This window comes from Homo sapiens, chromosome 1, assembly GCF_000001405.40.
Source record: "Homo sapiens chromosome 1, GRCh38.p14 Primary Assembly".
Classification (NCBI taxonomy): Eukaryota; Metazoa; Chordata; class Mammalia; order Primates; family Hominidae; genus Homo; species Homo sapiens.
The window spans coordinates 60,295,646-60,313,991 of record NC_000001.11 but is presented as its reverse complement, the minus strand read 5'-3'; positions in this window follow the sequence as shown (position 1 = coordinate 60,313,991).

Sequence of the window (18,346 nt, the reverse complement as noted above, 5' to 3'; positions counted from 1 at the left end):
CGCTTGAACCCCACAGGCAGAGGTTGCAGTGAGCTGAGATTGCACCATTGCACTCCAGCCTGGACGACAAGAGTGAAACTCCATCTTAAATAAATAAATAAATAATGTCCATTAATGTGCAAAAGTTTTTAATTTTCATGAAGTCTAATTTGTCTATTTTTTCTTTATTTCCTGTTCTTTGATGGCATATCCAAGAAATCATCATCAAATCCAATGTTGTGAAATTTTTGCTCTATGTTTTCTTCTGAGAGTTTTATAGTTTTAGCTTATATTTAGGTATTTGATGCATTTTGAATTAATTTTTATATATGGTGTTCACTAAAAATCTAACCACTTTTTTTCCATGTGAATCTCTTGTTTCCCAGCACCATTTGTTGAAAAGACAAATCTTCAAACTTTCCCAAGTTTCAAAACTTTCCCCACTGAGTAGTTTTGGCACCCTTCTCAAAAATCAAATCTGTGAGGATTTATTTCTGAGTTTTCTATCCTATTCCATTTTTCTATATGTATTTCTTTATCCCAGTACCACATTGTTTTGATTACTATACACTTGTAGTAAGTTTTAAGATCAGAAAGTGTGATACCTCTAGCTTTGCTCTTTTTTTTTTTTCAATATTACCTTGCCTATTTAGGGTCCATTGAGATTTAATATGAAGTGTTGGATGGATTTTTCTATTTCTGCAAAAAAAAATCACTGGGATTTTTTATAGGGATGGCATTAAATTTGCTTTTGGTAGTATGGACATTTTAACAATATTAAGTCTTAACAACCCATGAACATGGGGTATCCTTGCATTTATTTGTGTTTGCTTCATTTCAGTAATATTTTGTAGTCTTTAATGTACAAGTCTTTCACCTCCTTGGTTAAATTAATTCTCAAGGATTTTTTATGAGATTATAAATGCAGGGGGCACATATACATACTTGTGCATGTGTATACACACACACACAAACACACACACAACACACACACACTCACACTGGGACAATTTAGACATGCTATTTAACGTGATGTGCACATATTTGGGATGTGGGGGGAAAGCAGAGTACCCAGAGAAATCCCACTCAGATTTGGAGAGAATGTGTAAACTCCCACAGACAGTGGTCCCAGTCAGGAACTAATTTTTTTTCCTTCTAATCAATGTTATAATGAGAACCTGCTGTATAATCCTTTTAACATGCTGCTGAATTCACGTTGCTAGTACTCTTTTGAGGATTTTCACATCAACATTCACAAGAATATTAGTCTGTAGTTTTCTTTTCTTATAATGTCTTTACCTGGCATTGATATCAGGGGAATGTTGGCCTCATATAAAGAAATAGAACGTGTTCCCTTCTTTTCAACTTTCTGGAAAAGTTTGAGAATAATCATTATTAGTTCTCTTTTAAGTGTGTGGTGGAATTCACCAGCAAAGAAATCAAGTCCAGGCTTTTCTTTTGTTGGGAAATTTCAATTACTGATTACATTACTGATGGTTATTTTTTAGAGATGAGTCTTGCTCTGTCACCCAGTCTAGAGTGCAGTGGTTACTACAATAACAGCTTACTGCAGCATCAAACTCCTGGGCTCCAGAGATTCTTTTGCATCAGCCTTTTGAGTAGCTGGAACTACAGGTGCTGCCACACCCAGCTATTTTTTATTTTTTAATATTTTAGACATGGGGTTCTCCCTATATTGCTCAGTCTGGTCTCAAACTCCTGGCCTCAAACTGTCCTGCCACCCTAGTCTCCTGAGTATCCGTGATTACAGGCACTTGCCATCACTCCCCTGATTCAATCTTTTTCTGAGTTATAGATTTATTCAGATTTCTATTTCTTTGTAATACAGTCTTGGTAGGTTTTGTGTTTCTAGGAACTTGTCCATTTCATCTAGGTCATCCAATTTGTTGGTGTACAGTTGGTTATAATGCTCTCTTACAATGTGTTTTATTTCTGTAGAATCAGCAATAATGTCCCCACTTTCAGTTATTTAAGCAATTTTAATCTTCCATTTTGTAAGCCAAGTAGCTAAAGATTTGTCCATTTTGCTGATCTTTTCAAAGAACTAACTTTTGGCTTTGTTGATTTTCTCTTTGTTGTTTTGTTTACTTTCTATTTTATTTATCCCTGCTCTCATATTTATTATTTTCTTTCATCTGCTAGCTTTGGGTTCAGTTCGTTTTCTTTTTTCTAGTTCCTTGGATTGTAAAGTTAGGTTGTTTGAGATCTTTCTTTTTTAATGTAAGCATTTATCACAATAAATTTCTTCCCTGGCACTGCTTTTGCTGAGTCCCATAAGCTTTGTTATGTTGTGTTTTCATTTTCATTTATCTCTAAGTGTTTTCTAAATTTCCTTGTGATTTCCTCTTTGATTCATTAGTTATTTAAGAATATGTGCTTTAATTTCCACAGATTTGTTAATTTTCCAGTTTTCCTTCTGCGATTGATTTTTACCATCATCTTGGTGTGGTCAAAGAATATACTTTGCGTGATACCTATCTTCTAAAATCTACTGAGGATTTGTGATCTAACCTATGGTTTGTCATGGAGAATGTTTCATGAGCACTTGAGAAAAATGTATTCTATTTTTACTGGGTAAAGTGTTCTATACATGTCTGTTAGATATATTTTGTTTATTGTGTTATTTAAGTCCTCTATTTCCTTACTTATCTTCTGCCAAGCTTTTTCTATCTCTTATTGAGAAGGGGATATCAAAGTTTCCAATAATCGTTGTAGAACTGCTTATTTCTCCCTTCAATTCTGTTAATTTTTGCTTCAAATATTTTGATGTCTGTTATTAGATGTATAAATGTTTATAATAATCATATCTTTTTGTTGTATTTAACTTTTTGTTAATATATAATTTCATTCTTTGTCTCACTCTTCTTTTTTGTTTACTGTTTATATGAAATATATTTTTCCATACTTCATTTTTAACTTACCTGTGTCTTTCAATCTAAAGTTAGTCTCTTACAGACAGCATAGAGCTGAGTCATTTAAAAATATTTCTACCAATCTCTGTCTTTGATTAGAGAGTTTAATTCATTTCTATTTAAAGTAACTAGTGACAAAGAGAGATTCACTTAGGTTATTTTGCTTTGTTTCTATATGTCTTACAGATTTTCGTTCTTCATTTCTTGCTTTAACTGCCTTTTGTGTTTAGTTCATTTTCTTGTGATGAAAGGTTCAATTCCCTTCTCATTCCCTTGTATGTATATTCTACAACTATTGTTTTTTGTGTTACTATAGGGATTACATTTAACATCCTAAAGTTATAACACTCTAATTTAAATTTATACCAGCATAATTTCAATAATAAAAACTCTGCTTTTTTCAGTTCCATTCCCAACCCTTTCCGTTATCAATATCATAAAATTACATCTTTACAGGCTTTGTGTCCAAAAACATAAAGAATTTTTATTGTACTAGTTTCTTAAATGATTTAGAAAACAAATATGGTGTTATAAACTACAGTTACAATAATACTAGCTTTGTAATTGCCTGTGCATTTACCTTTACTGAAACATTTATTTTTTCATATGATTTTGAGTTACAGTCATCTTTTCATTTCAACCTGCAGGACTTCCTTCAACATTTCTTGCAAAGCTGATCTAATGGTAACAGACTTCCTCAGCTTTTATTTGTCTTGGAATGTCTTAAGTTTTCTCTCAATTTTTAAGAAGGTTTAAATATAGAATCCTGGTTGAAAGTTTTATTTTTTTTTTAGCACTGTAGATGTCAGTCCACTGTCTTCTGGCCTCCAAAGCTTCTGATGAGAAATCTATGGATAACATCATTGAAAGTCCTTCATATGAGACAAGTCACTTCTCTGTCATTGCTTTTGAGATTCTTGGTGTCTCAGATGAGTATAGCAGGAGGGGAAAAAAAGATTCTCAATGTGGATCTCTTTGAATTTATCCTGCTTTGAGTCCATTGAGTTTCTTAGATATTTATATTCATATCTTTCATCAAATTTGAGCAGTTTTCAGCCATTATTTCTTCAGATAATCTCTGTCACTTTCTTTTTCTCTTCTCCTTCTAGGATCCCCAAAATGCGTGTGTTGGTCCACTTGATAGTGCCCCACAGGTCCCTTAGGCTCTGTTAAATTTTCTTCAATATTTTTTTTCCTGTTTTTCAAATTTGATAATTTCGGTTTCTTTCAAATTGTTAATTTCAAATGGTCAAGTTTTTTAATTCTTCTGCCTGCTCTAATCTTCCTTTAAATATCTCTAGTAAAACTTTCATCTTAGTTATTATACTTTTAAGCTCTAAAATTTATTTTTAGGGTTTTTAAGATTTTCTATCTCTTTATGGACATTTCCATTTTCTTCATACATTGTTTGCTTGACTTCCTCCACATTTTTCTTTAATTCTTTAAGCACCTTTATGACAGTTGTTTTAAAGTCTTTGTTTAGCTAGGTCCACCTAACTAGTCTTTCTCTGGGACAATGTCTATTGGTTTAGTTTTCTCTCTGAATGAGCTATTATTTCCTGTTTCTTTGTATGTCTTATAATTTTTGGTTGAAAACTGGGCATTTTGAATCTATGAAGTAATTTTGGAAATCAGATTCTCCCTTTTCCTCAGAGTTTGCTCGTTTTTGTTTTGCTTTTTAAAAAATAATGTTACAGGCCATCTCTATTCTGAAGATAAGCCTGAGGTATAAACTTAAGATCTTCAAAGGTATTTTCTGAGCCTATACTTTTCCCTGGGCATGTATGGTGCTTTTCTAATTTCTCCTGTATATGCAGTTTATTTTTGAATGCCCTAGTCTTCAACATCTGTCTCCCAAGAGGGGGGAAAAGAGCAAGATAATGGTGGAGGAAAAGCATCAGCCCTTTAAATCTCATGGAAGTTACTTCAGCTATAAAGGGTGAGGTTTGCAACAATATGGGGCAGGAAGGCAATAATGGCTACCTGCTTTTGTGTCTGCTCCCCCATGAAGCAGCAATCAGTAATCAGAACATAGAATGCCTGTTTTTTGAGGACAGGATTCTTTTTGCCCACCTTGGCTCCCACAACCTGCATGCAAGATGCGCCTGGAATACATGCACTGCTGATTGCCACAGGGATGGGGAATGGTAAATGGGTAGGTGCTGCTGAGCTAAGAGGTAAAATTAACTGAAATTAACCACCATTTACTATTCAAGGCTTTCCCTAGAAGTTGAAAGACTTCAATAGATTCCAGAGTTCCAAAATAGTTACATCAGACAGATTTTGTCAGTGCAATTGTTCTCTAGTTGGGGGTAGAAATTCCTGGTGATTCCTACTCTGCCATCTTCCTAGAATCTTTCTATAGCATAAATCCATTAATTTGTTAATGATTGTTTGGATTGTTTACAATTTATAGCTAACACGGATGAATGCTATGAATATTCTTATGAACAACTTCTTGACAGAATATATTTTCATTTACCTTGTTTAAATATCTAGAGTGTGGTTTTTGAGTAAAGTCATGTATGTTTAACTCCAAAATAAACTGCAAATAAAAGTTCTGGAAAGTAATTATACACACTATCATAATGTACAAAAGATCTTGCTCAAAAAATTGTTGATGTTATGTTTTCATTTCTGTTTATGAGAAACATTTTGTTTTCTCTTGTGATTTTTTTAATCCATGGGTTATTTTAATTTGCAAGCATTTTGAAGGTTTAAAGATACCTTGTTATTTATTTATAATTTAATACTGGTGTATAGGAAACTTTCCCTTTGTTTCAATCTCCTAAAATTTATTGAGACTAATTTTATGGCCAAGCCTATGCTATTTCTGGGTGAACATAATATGTACACTTAAAAAGAATATGTATTCTTCAGTTTTAGAGTGTAGTCTTCTAAACATGTCAATAAGATGAAATTGGTGGATAATGCTGTTTAGATCTTCTAACAGCTGAGTCTTTGATCCAATTTTTTCCCCATTTTTTTCTATAAATTACTGAGAAAAGGGTTTTAAAATCACGAACTATACTTGTAGATTTTCTATTATTCTTTTTCTGTCTGTCAGTTTCTGTTTCATGTAATTTGAAGCACTGTTATTAGATGAATACATACTTAGAATGGTTATATCTTTGTGATACATTATTCCTTTTATCAATATGAATGTCTTTTATTTTCTGAGACTACTTTTCCTCTTGCCAGTTGACTTAGTCTGGTCATTAATATAACCACACTGGCTTCCTTGCACATAATTTTGCATTGTTCTTTATCCTTTAGTTTTCAACCACTAAATCTTTAGAGCAGCATATAATTTAGTCTTATTTTTTATGCAGTATGGCAATCTGTTCTTTTAGTTGAAATGTTTCGTCCATTTACATTTAATAAAATTATTTAGATGCTTGGGTTTGAGTCTATGCTTCAGAATTTTTGTTCATTTGTTTTTGGTTATTCTATCTATTATGTTAATCTGTTTTTAATTTCCTTTTGTATTGATGAGTTATACTGTTTTAATATTTCATTTCATCTTTTCTTCTTGCCTTTTAATATACTTCTTTGTGTATGTGACTTTTAGTTATTGCTATAGAGATTACATTATCCTTGTATATATTCAAATAATATTATATGACTTTAAAATTAGTTTAAAACCTATAATAATATAAATGTTTTTTCCAATTGTCTTATCATTTGCGATTTTATCATATATTTCACTTCCACATATACTATAAGCCACACTATGTATTATTATTATTATATTAAATACATTCTCTTTTATAGAATTTAAAATATACTGCTCTACCTTCCTTCCTGAAATTTGGAGTATTTATATGATATTATTTCTCCTCATCATGATAAACATCTTCTAGCATTTCCTCTAGTGCAGGTCCGTAAGAGACAAATTCTTTCAAATTTTCCTTGTCTCAAAATGACTTTATTGTTGCCTTTATTTTTGAAAAATATTTTTACCAAATATGTGTAGTTCCCTTTCTTTCTCCTTTTTTTGCTTTCTACTTGTGTTAAGCATTGGAATGAAGTATTTTAAAATAAGTCATATTGACTTTGGTGTTGGAAGGAAGATAAAAATCATTGGATTTCTAATGTAAGGTTTATAGAGAAGATGGGGTTTAAACTGTATTTAAAAACAACAACAACTAGAAACTAGTGGCAACAGAATACATTGGAGAAGCTTGTTTCTTCTCTTAGTTCCATTCCTAAGCTGTGGCTCTCTACCCCTTATTTCCCTCTTTCTAAGGGAGGAGGAGAAATAGATCTGACTGGGAAGACATCATATCAGGAGATACATCAGGTAAGAGACTGGTGTTTATTGAGTCATATCGAAGTCGCTGCATTGAAAAAGACAGTATAAATCCTATTTCACTCTCTTCTGAACACTCTGACATCTTGCATTCTTACCAAGATTTTGTTTCTAGGTCAAGACACAATTGTTTACCTCCACAAGAGTAGCTACTGTAGGATAAGTATACTTAGTCTTTGCAGAATAAATTCTCTCCAAAGATTCAATGTCTGGACTTGAGGTAAGATGCTAAGAGTTGCTCTTTCTGGCATCAGGTAATTCCTCAGTTCTCCAATTCAGTCCTAGTAGGGATGCATGGAGAGAAAATGTTACCAAGGTCTATTAATAAAGACTGTTGTTCACTATTTACCATATATTATATTTTTATTACTTGTTGGAATCTGGTTAGGGGGAAAGGGAATGGGATAAGATGTTGCTGTTCCAAAAAAGAACTCCAAAACCAGTGAAAAAATAGAGGAGGAGAAGGAAGAACCCACATATTATATTCGCTATATAGCAACACTAAAGTATGAGGGACAGGTAGAAAGGTAAGAAAGATTTCAGTGATCAGGCATGGTGGACCATGCCTATAATCCTAGCACTTTGGGAGGCCAAGGCAGGAGGAATCCTTGAGCCTAGGAGTTTGAGACCAGCCTGAGCAACAAAGGAAGGCCTCATCTCTACAAAAAATAAACAAAATAAGCTGGGTATGGTGGCATGCACCTGTAGTCCTACTCAGGAGACTGAGGTAGGAGAATCACTTGAGCCCAGGAGGCTGAGGCTGCAGTGAGCCAAAATCACACCACTGTACTCCAGTCTGGGTGATAGAGTAAGACCCTGCCTCAAGAGAAAAAAAAAAAGAGAGAGAGGGAGAGATTCTATATTTATATAACACATACACACATATATATGTATACATATGCATATGTGTGTATGTATATATGTATGTGTGTGTATTATGTATATGTGTGTGTGTGTGTGTGTGTGTGTGTGTGTGTAGAGAGAGAGAGCCTCTATAAAGTGCTTGGCCCAGTTCCTGAAATGTAGTGTTCAATAAAATGTGTCTTAAACAAAGATAAAGACTTACCATTTATTCCTTCATCATGTTGAACTTTTTGAGTAGAGGAAGAAATAAGGGTAAAGAGGTGATATGAAATATTAGATCCAAGGAGGTAAAAGGTCTTAAATATACCTAATGTTAGCCTACCATATTAAATTTGAGAAGTGTAAGGCAGACCAGGGGGAAAAAGACTCCCATAAGATTATATGACAAGCTACAGGCAGAGCTGGTTAGAGGACAAGAGTATATCTCATATTGGGAGCAGAAAATGTAAATGTTAGGAAAATTTTTATGTTTAATACAGTTTATGTTATCAGTGACCAACCAAATGCTTGACATATATTCAGTGTTAAATAAATTATTGTAAAAATAAAAAAAGATGCCAGGCATTGTGGCTCATGCCTATAATCTCAACACTTTGGGAGGCCATGGTAGGTGGGTCACTTGAGCCCAGGATTTTGAGAACAGCTTGGGCAACATGGTGAAACCCTGTCTCTACAAAAAATACATACACACACACACACACACACACACACACACACACACACACACACACACACACACACAAATCAGCTGGGCTTGGTGGTGTGTGCCTATAATCCCAGCTAGTCAGGAGGCTGAGGAAGGAGGATCACTTGAGCCCAGGAGATTGTTGAGGCTGCAGTGAGTCGGGATTGCACCACTGCACTCCAACCTGGGCAACAGAGTGAGACTTTGTCTCAAAAAAATAAAAATAAAAAAAGAATAGAAAAAAAGTCAAGTATTTAGAATATTGATAGGATATAAAATAGATACAAAAACTAGAGACAGCATTGTCCGCCCAGAAATAACTAAAGTCCCTTGTCTCCTGAGGAGCTTCACCTTTGGCTTGATACCTTAAGTTCTTAATATACTGTCCTGGGTGGGGAAAGGGAGAGAAGGGCTTAATTTGAACTTTTTGAAATTGAGAAGGATGTTTCATTCCAGCAACTATAACTTAGGAATCCTTCAAGCTGGCCACTCAGAACCAACAGACTACAGAAAAATTCATTTTAAAAAGAGTCAAGTGAGGTTTATGAATAACAGAGGGTGTTGAGGAAAATAGGGCTGCAAGAAATTACGGACATTCCTCTGCTCTCCCAAACCTGTCTTTAGAGGGCCTCATGTTTAATCTATAACCCAGTTTAGATTCTAAAGGTAATGAAAGCTGGACCCAAGTAAAAGTGTATCTGTTTAGAATAATTCAACCTTGAGAGAACCAAATAGGAACTTAGTCCCAAACATCCAAGAATTATTTGGCATCAAGTAGGTGCCAGTGGCAATGTAGTAGGAGATCTATTGCAAAAGTACATGATAGAAAGTGGCATTTACAGAACAGTAGAGTAAGGCTCCAAAAATATGCTTCTTCAAATAAGCAATGTCAATACTGGCAAAAATGTCAGAAACAAAGTTTTCTGCACTCTGGAAATTAATAAAAGGTTTGTAACAACCTGAGGAGGGTTATTTCAAGAAAATTGATATGTCTTAATAAGAACAGTAAGCCTATTGGTGTTTTTACTTACCCTATTCCCATCTCTCTTTCCTCAACCTTGAAAACCAACAGACTTTCAACTACAGTAGCTGTGAAAAGCAGCAGTCCAGCAGACTTTGGAAAGTTCAGCATTTTCTTAAAAGCTCCATCTCCAGCAAATCGTCACTCTTTAACCTATCAGAAAATACCTGAAGAGCTATATTTAACTCAGGTCTTGATCTGTCTTAACATCCCTGTATTCAGTACATTTGTCAAAAATAATCATTGGCAATTGGTTAACATTGCAGCTTTTTGAGGTGGCAGTATCAGCTGTAGCTAAAAGAGGCTGGCCAAAAGAACTCAGAGAAATTAGAGAATGAGATGTCCCTAGGGTGCTCTGAAAAGGTCTGACATATTCCCGGGAATCTAGAAAGACACATGCATAAGCAGAGCTGTGTGCATGCACAGGAAAAGCCATAGAAGACTCCACTTTCTCACTTCTGGCTTACCTTGAAGCTTTGCACAGCAGAAGGTGAAGATTAAGACAATTATCAATTGCTTACCAGAGCCTTGAAGGCATGTCCCAACACAAACACACACACAGCCTCTCAACAAAAGTTAATTGGTTCCAAATAGTTAGGGATCTTGGTTCAATCATTAGCTGACCACTAAGCTAATTAAACACACATGACAAAGAATACAAACTTTACAAAATTAGACCAGGAAAGTTACCAAACAAACAGCAGGAGCAACAACAACAAAAACAGCCCTAAGGAGGAGAAAATCTGCTTTATCTACTTACCAAATTGTATTACTTAGCATGCCCAGTTTCAACACAAAAATCATGCAACATGCAAAAAAACAAGAAAATGTGGCCAATACACAGGGGTAAAAACAAAATCAAACCCAAAAACTGTCAATGGAAACTATTTCTGAGAAAGCCCAGATGCTGAACTTAATCGATAAAGATTTAAGTCAGCTACTATTAACATGTTTAAAGAAAAAGGAAATCATGTCTAATGCATTAAAGAAAAGTATGAGAACCATGTGTCATCACATATAAATATCAATTAAGACATAGAAATTATTTACAAAAAAGGAGAAGAAAAAAATTCTGGAGTTGAAAAGTAAAATAATTTAAATAAAATGTGTGTTAGTGGGGCTCAAGTGCAGGTTTGAGCTGACAGAGGAAAGAATCAGTGAATTTCAGTAAAACCAACCTCCAAATATTAAAAAGAAATTTCAAAAATTTTGAGATTTATCCAGTCAGAGGAACAGAAAGAAAAATAAATGAAAAAAATGAGCAGAGCTTCAGAGACTTGTGGGACACCACCAAGCATATCAACAAACATATAATGAGAGGCTCCGAAGAATAGAAAGAGGCAGAAATAATATTTTTTAAAATAATGGCCATAAACTTCCTAAATTTGATGAAAAACAATCTGTCCATCCAAGAAAATCAATTAACTCCAAGTAGGATAAACAAAGAGATGGATACCTCAGTGATGGATGGATAGTCAAACTGCTGAGAAATAAAGATAGAGAGAGTCTTGGAAGCAGCAAGACAAAAGTAATTTATTTATTACAAACAAGGGATCTTCAATAATATTAAAAACTTACTTCTTATCAGAAACTAGGAAGGACAGAAAGCAATGGGAAGACATATTTGATGTGCTTTGTCAACCAAGAACCCTATATTCAGTAAAACTAACCTCCAAATATAAAGAAAAATTAAGCCATTTCCAGATAAACAAAAACTGAGAGAACTCATCACTAGTACATCTGCCCTACAAAAAATACTAAAATAAAAATAAAAATAAACAATATCCTTTGGAATAAAATAAAAGAATACTAGATGGTAATTTGAATCCACATAAAGACAGAAAGAACACCAGGTTAAGATAACTACATAGCTAAATACAAAACACAGTATAAACTTATTTTTTACTTATAACCCTTTTATTATCAAGTTTAAAAGATACACAGATAAAGCAATAATAATAAAACTGTGTTGATAGGCATATAAAGTATAAAGATGTAATCTGTATGACAATAAAAGCACAAAGGAAGTGGTTAATGGAGCTACATTGAAACAAAGTTTTTTGTAGTACACTGAAATTAAGCTGGTGTTAACATGAAGTAGATTATTTTAAGTTAAGATGTTAGATGGTGTACTAGAAAATATATGTTTAACATAAAAGAAAAGAGTAATGGAGAAATAGAGAAACAAAAAAGTAAGATGTATAGAAAACAAACAGTAAAATGTCAAATGTCTTACCTTAGCAGTAGTTATATTAAAAGTAATTGGATTAAAGCATTTCAATCAAAAGGTAGAGACTGATAGAATGAAACTCAAAAACCTAATGCTATCATACTTTTTAGATTCAAAGTCACAATTTAAAATCTAAAGAGACTCACTTTAGTTTCAAAGACACAAATAGCTGAAAGTAAAAGGATGGAAAATTATATATATACCTTGCACATAGCAACCAAAAGAGAAATTGAGTGTTATACTAATATCAGACAAAATAAACTCTAAGAAAAAATGTTATTAGAGTATTAAAAAGACCTTATAATGATAAAAGACTCAATCTATTAGGAAGATATAACTATTATATATATATATATGCATCTAGCAACAAAGCCCCAAAATACATTAAACAAAATCCAAAAAAATTGAAGGGAGAAGTAGACAATTCAACAATGGAAGTTGAAGACTTAAATACTTCACTTTCAGTAATGGATACAACAATTAGGCAAAAGATTAATAAGGAAAAATAAAACTTGTACAAAAGTATAAATCAACTAGACCTAACAGAAATCTGTAGTTCACTTCAACCAACAACAGCAAAATGCATGTTCTTTTTACATGCACATGGAATATTCAGGACCTTTCATGACACATACACACACACACACACACACACACACACACACACACACAAAGTAGGAATAAAAAGCAACATCTTCAGCTTGATAAAGTCTACCAAACTCCCACACTTAACATTACACTTAATGGCAAAAGGAATGAAAAATGTCCCTCTAAGCTTAGAAATAAAATAAAGATGTCCACTTCTATTCAACATTGCACTGGACCTTCTAGCCAGGGAAATTTGGAAAGAAAAAGAAATAAATGCATCCCAATTGGAAAGGAAAAAGTAAAAATGTTTTTGCAGTTCTTTTATATAGACAATCCTAAGGAATCTACAATACAACTGTTAGAAGTAATAAATGAGTTCAGCAAGGCTGCAAGATACAAGATCAATATCCAAAAATCCACTGTATTTCTAAACACTGGTGATGAACAATCTGAAAATGAAATTTAGGAATATTTTATTTATGATGGCATCAGAAAGACAAAATGCACAGGAACAAATTTAACTAAAGAAGTGTAAGATAAGTACTATAAAACATTACTGAAAGAAATTTTAAAACTCTAAATAAATGGAAAGATATCTCATGTTCATGGATCAGAAGGCTTAATTGATGTACACACTCAGCACAGTCCCTATTAAAGTCTCATCTCCCTTTTCTGAAGGCATTGACAAGCTAGAACTAAAACTTTTACAGAAATCCAAAAGACCCAGAATATCTAAACAAATCTTGAAAAATTGAATTAGGGGAATTCACATTACCTGATTTCAAAACTGACTGCAAACCTACAGTGATCAAGATCATGTAGTACTGAAGAATAAACATATAGATAAATGGAAAAGAATCGAGAATCCAGAAATAAACCCAGATATTGTAAACTTCCATTTATATAAAATGTTCATAATAGGGAAATTCATAGAGACAGAAAGTAGATTGAGAAAGTAGATTAAGGACTGTGGATGAGAAAGGAGTTTCAGGCAGTGACTGCTAATGGGTACAGAGTTTCTTCTGAGGGGGACAAAAATGCTATAAAATTAAATAGTAATGATGGTTACACAACCCTGTTAATATACTAAATAATACTGGAGTTCATACTTGGAATGGCTGAATTTTGTGCTATGTAAATTATATCTCAATAAAGCTATTATTTAAAAGATAAGTAGAATAATCATCTCTTTAGGTTATAAATATTTTTAAAGAAGCTGTATATGCAATATAGGATAGTTTCATATAAAATGTAATATTTCTCTAAATTTAATATAGAAATCACAATACACTTTATTGAAAAAAGGTTTTATTTTCTTCTTCCATATTCCTCACTCTTTTTTCATCCCGTCAGCGAGTGTCCATTGTACTCTACTGTACAAGCCATCTCTACTCATTTCTACCATCTTACTTTCGGTCCCTTTCCTTTTTCATGTGTATCTACTTACTTTTATAAAAAAAAAAAAAGGCAAGGAAATAGCTTTTCTTTTTTTTTAAGTCTTAGTTTGCTTTTTCCCAAACTTTCCTCCAAGAACATTCTCTGAAGTGACTCATTTGTCAGGAATAACGGCTCACCTGCTAGAATGAGAGGAGGCTGAGAGCAAGGGGAATGATGGAAAACGCATTCACAGTTTATCAAGGTGAAAGCATCGACACTTCATGTTCCTTTTAGAAAGATAGAGAATTAAAAAAGGAAAGAAAGCACTCTCATTGACATTCACATGCCCGTTTTTGAATTATGAAAGTGGAGACAGAGATAGAGATGTGGGTGGGAAAGAGTCTCCTACAACACTGAGGTTGAAAGGATCTCGGAATTATTTCCTTCAACTCCTCACTTAAAAATGAAGAAACCGAGGACTAAATGACTTTCCATAGCGACTGGGCAAGTTACTGAGCTCTTCCGGTTTCTTTTTCAGTGTCTCTTCCACTTTGTCCTTACAGCAAAGATTCCAACTGTCCCCAGTCTTTGTTCTTTTCCCTTTACATTTGGAAAAAGGATACTCTGGATTTTACAGAATACATGACCTATCACTGCAGATATTCCAGTTCTCAGTAGGGATGGCTGGGAAATATGCAATTTATGCATCTCTTCCCTGAGGGAAATCAGGGGCCTTCCAATGCTTTTGTTTTAGTTATCTTCAACTGTGATGAGGAAGAAAACTTCCTAGGAAATGACAAATACATAGTTAGCAAAAACTGCATTTTGGTACAATTTTATGGTGCAGAGGATCCCCAACAAAACTCTCCAAACTGTTGCATGAAAAAAGGAAAAGAAAAAAACACCTCTATCTTACATAACTCAACTGTATTTTGGGGTCTTTTGTAGGAACTTAACCTGTACTTAACAAGTAAAAACATGAAAGAGGATTTCTTTCTTCATGGAAGAAGTGCAATGGTTCACACCTGTAATGCCAGTGCTTTGGGAGGCTGAGGTGGGAGGACCTTTTGGGGCCAGGACTTTGAGATCAGCCTGGGCAACACAGCAAGAGCCCATCTCTACAAATATTTTCAAAATTAGTTGGGCATGGTAGCACATGCCTGTAGTCCCAGATACTCAGGGGGCTGAGGGGATTGCCTGAACCCAGGAGTTTGAGGTTATAGTGAGCTATGACCATGCCACTGCACTCCAGCCTGGGCAACAGAGGGAGACCTCATCTCTACAAAGAATAATTTTAAAGAAAAATGTCCGTGGGAACAAGGAATGCACATTACCTGTCTGTCTTAGTCTTTTCTGCTGCTATAACGAAAATACCATAAACTGGGCGGTTTATAAACAATAAACATTTGTTTCTCACAGTTCTGGAGGATGAGAAGTCTAAGACATAAGTGCTGGTAGATTCAGTGTCTGGTGAGGGCTTTTTCCTCACAGAGAGCAACTTCTTCATGTCCTCACATGTTGGAAGTGGTAATGCAGTTCTCTGCGGTTTCTTTTACAAGGGCATTAATTTCATTCATGAAGGCAGATCTCTTATGACCTGTTTTCCTCCCAAAGGCCTCACCTTCAAATACCATCACCTTGGTGGTTAGAATTCAACCTATGAATTTTAGGGGGACACATTCAGACCATAGCACCATCTTTGCACTCCCAGTGTTTAGCAGAGTGTCTGCTGCATGACATGCATTCAATAAAGGGCTGCTCAATAAAGACAAAAGTGAAATAGGGAACAAATAAGAAAGCTAGAAAAGGGAAAATGTCTGTGGTAGGCAAAATAACAAAATTACTAGTTTGTGAAAACTAAAACTGCTTTTAGGGGAACATTTCCACAGGACCTTTTATCTTTCTTTGCTAATTCTCACAATTTAGAGTCCACAGGGTTAGCTAGACTGAGATGCAGAGGCATTTTGTTATTGAGGCTTCCCCTAGAGGTTCCAGATTGCTTGCTTGGCCCTGATTCTGGATTTGAATCTTATCTTTTAATGAAAGGATACATTTGTAGTTAGTTTTTAAGAGTACTGTGGTCGGCATTATTCCAAACCACCTGAATCTCAGGAAAAGATCCATCTACTCCCCACAAAACTCATGATTTCCTTCAGCCTGTGACCAAAGTTGCATCTGAATATAGATAAATCGGACAGCCAGGCCAGGTCAATGAACTGATGAGTGAAGCCAGTAATACCTTCAGTCCTTTCAAGGCTCCCCAAAGGGGGCTGATAAAGACGTTTGAATGCCCTCCATCATCTCAATAGAAGACATGTAATATACGAGAGACAGACCAGAGCAGAGTGTTTTACTCTGACCCTGAAGAGATCTATTTTCACTCTAGACAGCACTTTCTGTATTAATACTCAGCCAGTGAAAGGCAGTGCTTTGAAGAAAATAAAACTAGTAAGAAAATAATTATTTTAAAGAAGGCAACGATCAAAACTTAATGCCCCAGAAGTTGTGCTATGGAAAGTAGGACTTTAAGGGACATATCAATTTATCTTGCACATCCTTGGCCACTAATGGATTGTTCCCTGGAGCACATTTCCAATTATTTTAACCAGGCTACTTTTAAATGACTCAGGTGGAGAGGATTTTTACAGCTTCCATTGGGGGAGAGTATTCTGCGGTCTGATACACATCACTGTTTCGAACTGGTTGGTTTGGTAGGAAAATTTCCTTTTTAAATTTATTTGTTTTGTTATTTTCCACTGAGAACCTCCTATATTGGGAAGAATTGGGTTACCACATGCTGGTTTCGTATCCTTTTCATTTCACTGTGAATCTCTGTTCTCATGAAGTTTCAATCACACTTCTGGTTATCACAGCCTGCTGCATCAATTCTATCCAGTCTCAAGATCCTTGGGTGAAACCCCCTGGGGAGGGCCTCACAGTTGCCATCAGGAATGATTTCGACCAACACCTGCAGGCATCCTTCTGGCTGATCCATTCAGTTGCCCCCTCCTCCTTCTCTAAGGGCTGTTCCCTTCAGACATTCCCCCCGCCCATACACAGAAACTAGTCATTCTCCTCAAAGTGTTTGTGTGACAGTGTTCTTGAACTTTCAAAGACAATGAAAATATTGGGAATTATGAAACACTTTGTAATAACATTTAATAAAATACTGCTACTCAGATGTCTGTCCTATAGTATTTACTTATTCTCTCCAATACAGATATCATGGGCAAGAATCATGTCTTCTACTTTCTTGTATCTCAAGTTTTGTATCTCTCAGAGCTTGTGTGCCTGCATGTAGCAGGCACTTAAGATGTAGTTTTTAAAAATGTAACTGAAAGAATGTGATTATCTGGATGTTTTAAACATTGCTGTGAGACTCAGGAGATATATATGTATATATATATATATATAATATAAATATATATATATATATAAAATATATATTTGAACCGTGTCACCTTAATAAAATAGCTAGTATGTTGCTGTCTTCATAACTAGTTAATATATCTTCTAATTAAATTTGCATTTATACCACAGTCTCTCTCCAGTGAGTTGTCATAGTATAATTAAAAAATGAATGGACCTTGGATTCAAACAGTCTTTGGTTTGTTATCTACTTAAGGTTGCGTGGATCATCTAACCTCTCTGAGCTTCTGTTTCCTTGTCTTCAAAATTAGCTTAGCAATAATTATCCCATGACCTTGTCTTGGAGATTAAATGGGATCACTTATTCGAAGGTACTTAGTCTGGTGCCTGGCGTGTCGTTTTTAAGTTGAATCAATTAAGATGCTTTAGTACATGGCACAGAAAGTCAAACTAAAAGTGGATTAAATGGTAAGGAAAATTTATCTCGTATTGTAAGAAGTGTGCAGGAGGGCAGCTTCAAGGCTGGTAAATTTAATGGCTCAACAGTGCTCATGAATGTGCTTTGTACCTTTCTACTCCACCATCCTTCATGTGATAGCAATGTGTCTGCTCAGAATTACAGAATGGCTGCCACATATGTGCTTGCAGAGACAACAAATAGGAGAGTCATTTCATCTCATGTATCTCTTCTTTATAAGAGAATAATTTTTTTTCCAAAGCCATCAGCATATATTTTCTTCATATCCCGTTGGTCAATATTGGGTTATATGTCATGTCCCAGCAGCAAGAAATCCTGGAAAAAGAAGTTTCTGTCATTTTCAACCTTTCTGAAGGAAGTAGAATCTGCCAGGCAGGAAAAAACTGCAGAAAGCCTAGTGAGGGGCAAGGCTAGTGAGTTGTCAACCTCTTACCCTCTCCAGGTCAATGACATGTCCTATTTGGTAGGCATACAGTAGCTTGATAGTTGCTTTAATGTTTACCAATTTTA